Source organism: Homo sapiens, chromosome 16 (genome assembly GCF_000001405.40).
Source record: "Homo sapiens chromosome 16, GRCh38.p14 Primary Assembly".
NCBI lineage: Eukaryota > Metazoa > Chordata > Mammalia > Primates > Hominidae > Homo > Homo sapiens.
In genome coordinates this window covers 31,060,528-31,060,846 of record NC_000016.10, presented here as the reverse complement: position 1 = coordinate 31,060,846, position 319 = coordinate 31,060,528, and positions in this window count along the sequence as shown.

Sequence of the window (319 nt, the reverse complement as noted above, 5' to 3'; positions counted from 1 at the left end):
GGTCATCTTCTGTGTTCTGGTTGGGAGTGAATGGGTGGGAGTTTGGGCATCAGGTAAGGTTCAGTGGAGACCCCTGGATCCACAGATTTGAAACTAGAAGGGTCTTTGGATGCAGTTTCCCAAAGTATGTTTCAGGATGTCTAGTGACAAAAGGTTTCATGGGCAGGTAAGAAAGGAAATTCCCTGTGCCCTTCTTGGGATTCTTGGTGATCAAAACTTGGTGATCAAAAGTGGGCTGGGGTGGCCCTGGAGGAGCAGTCCCTCTGGCAGCTGAAGCTGGCATCTCCAGGCCCACTGCCCCTTTGTTGTGAGGGCCTGG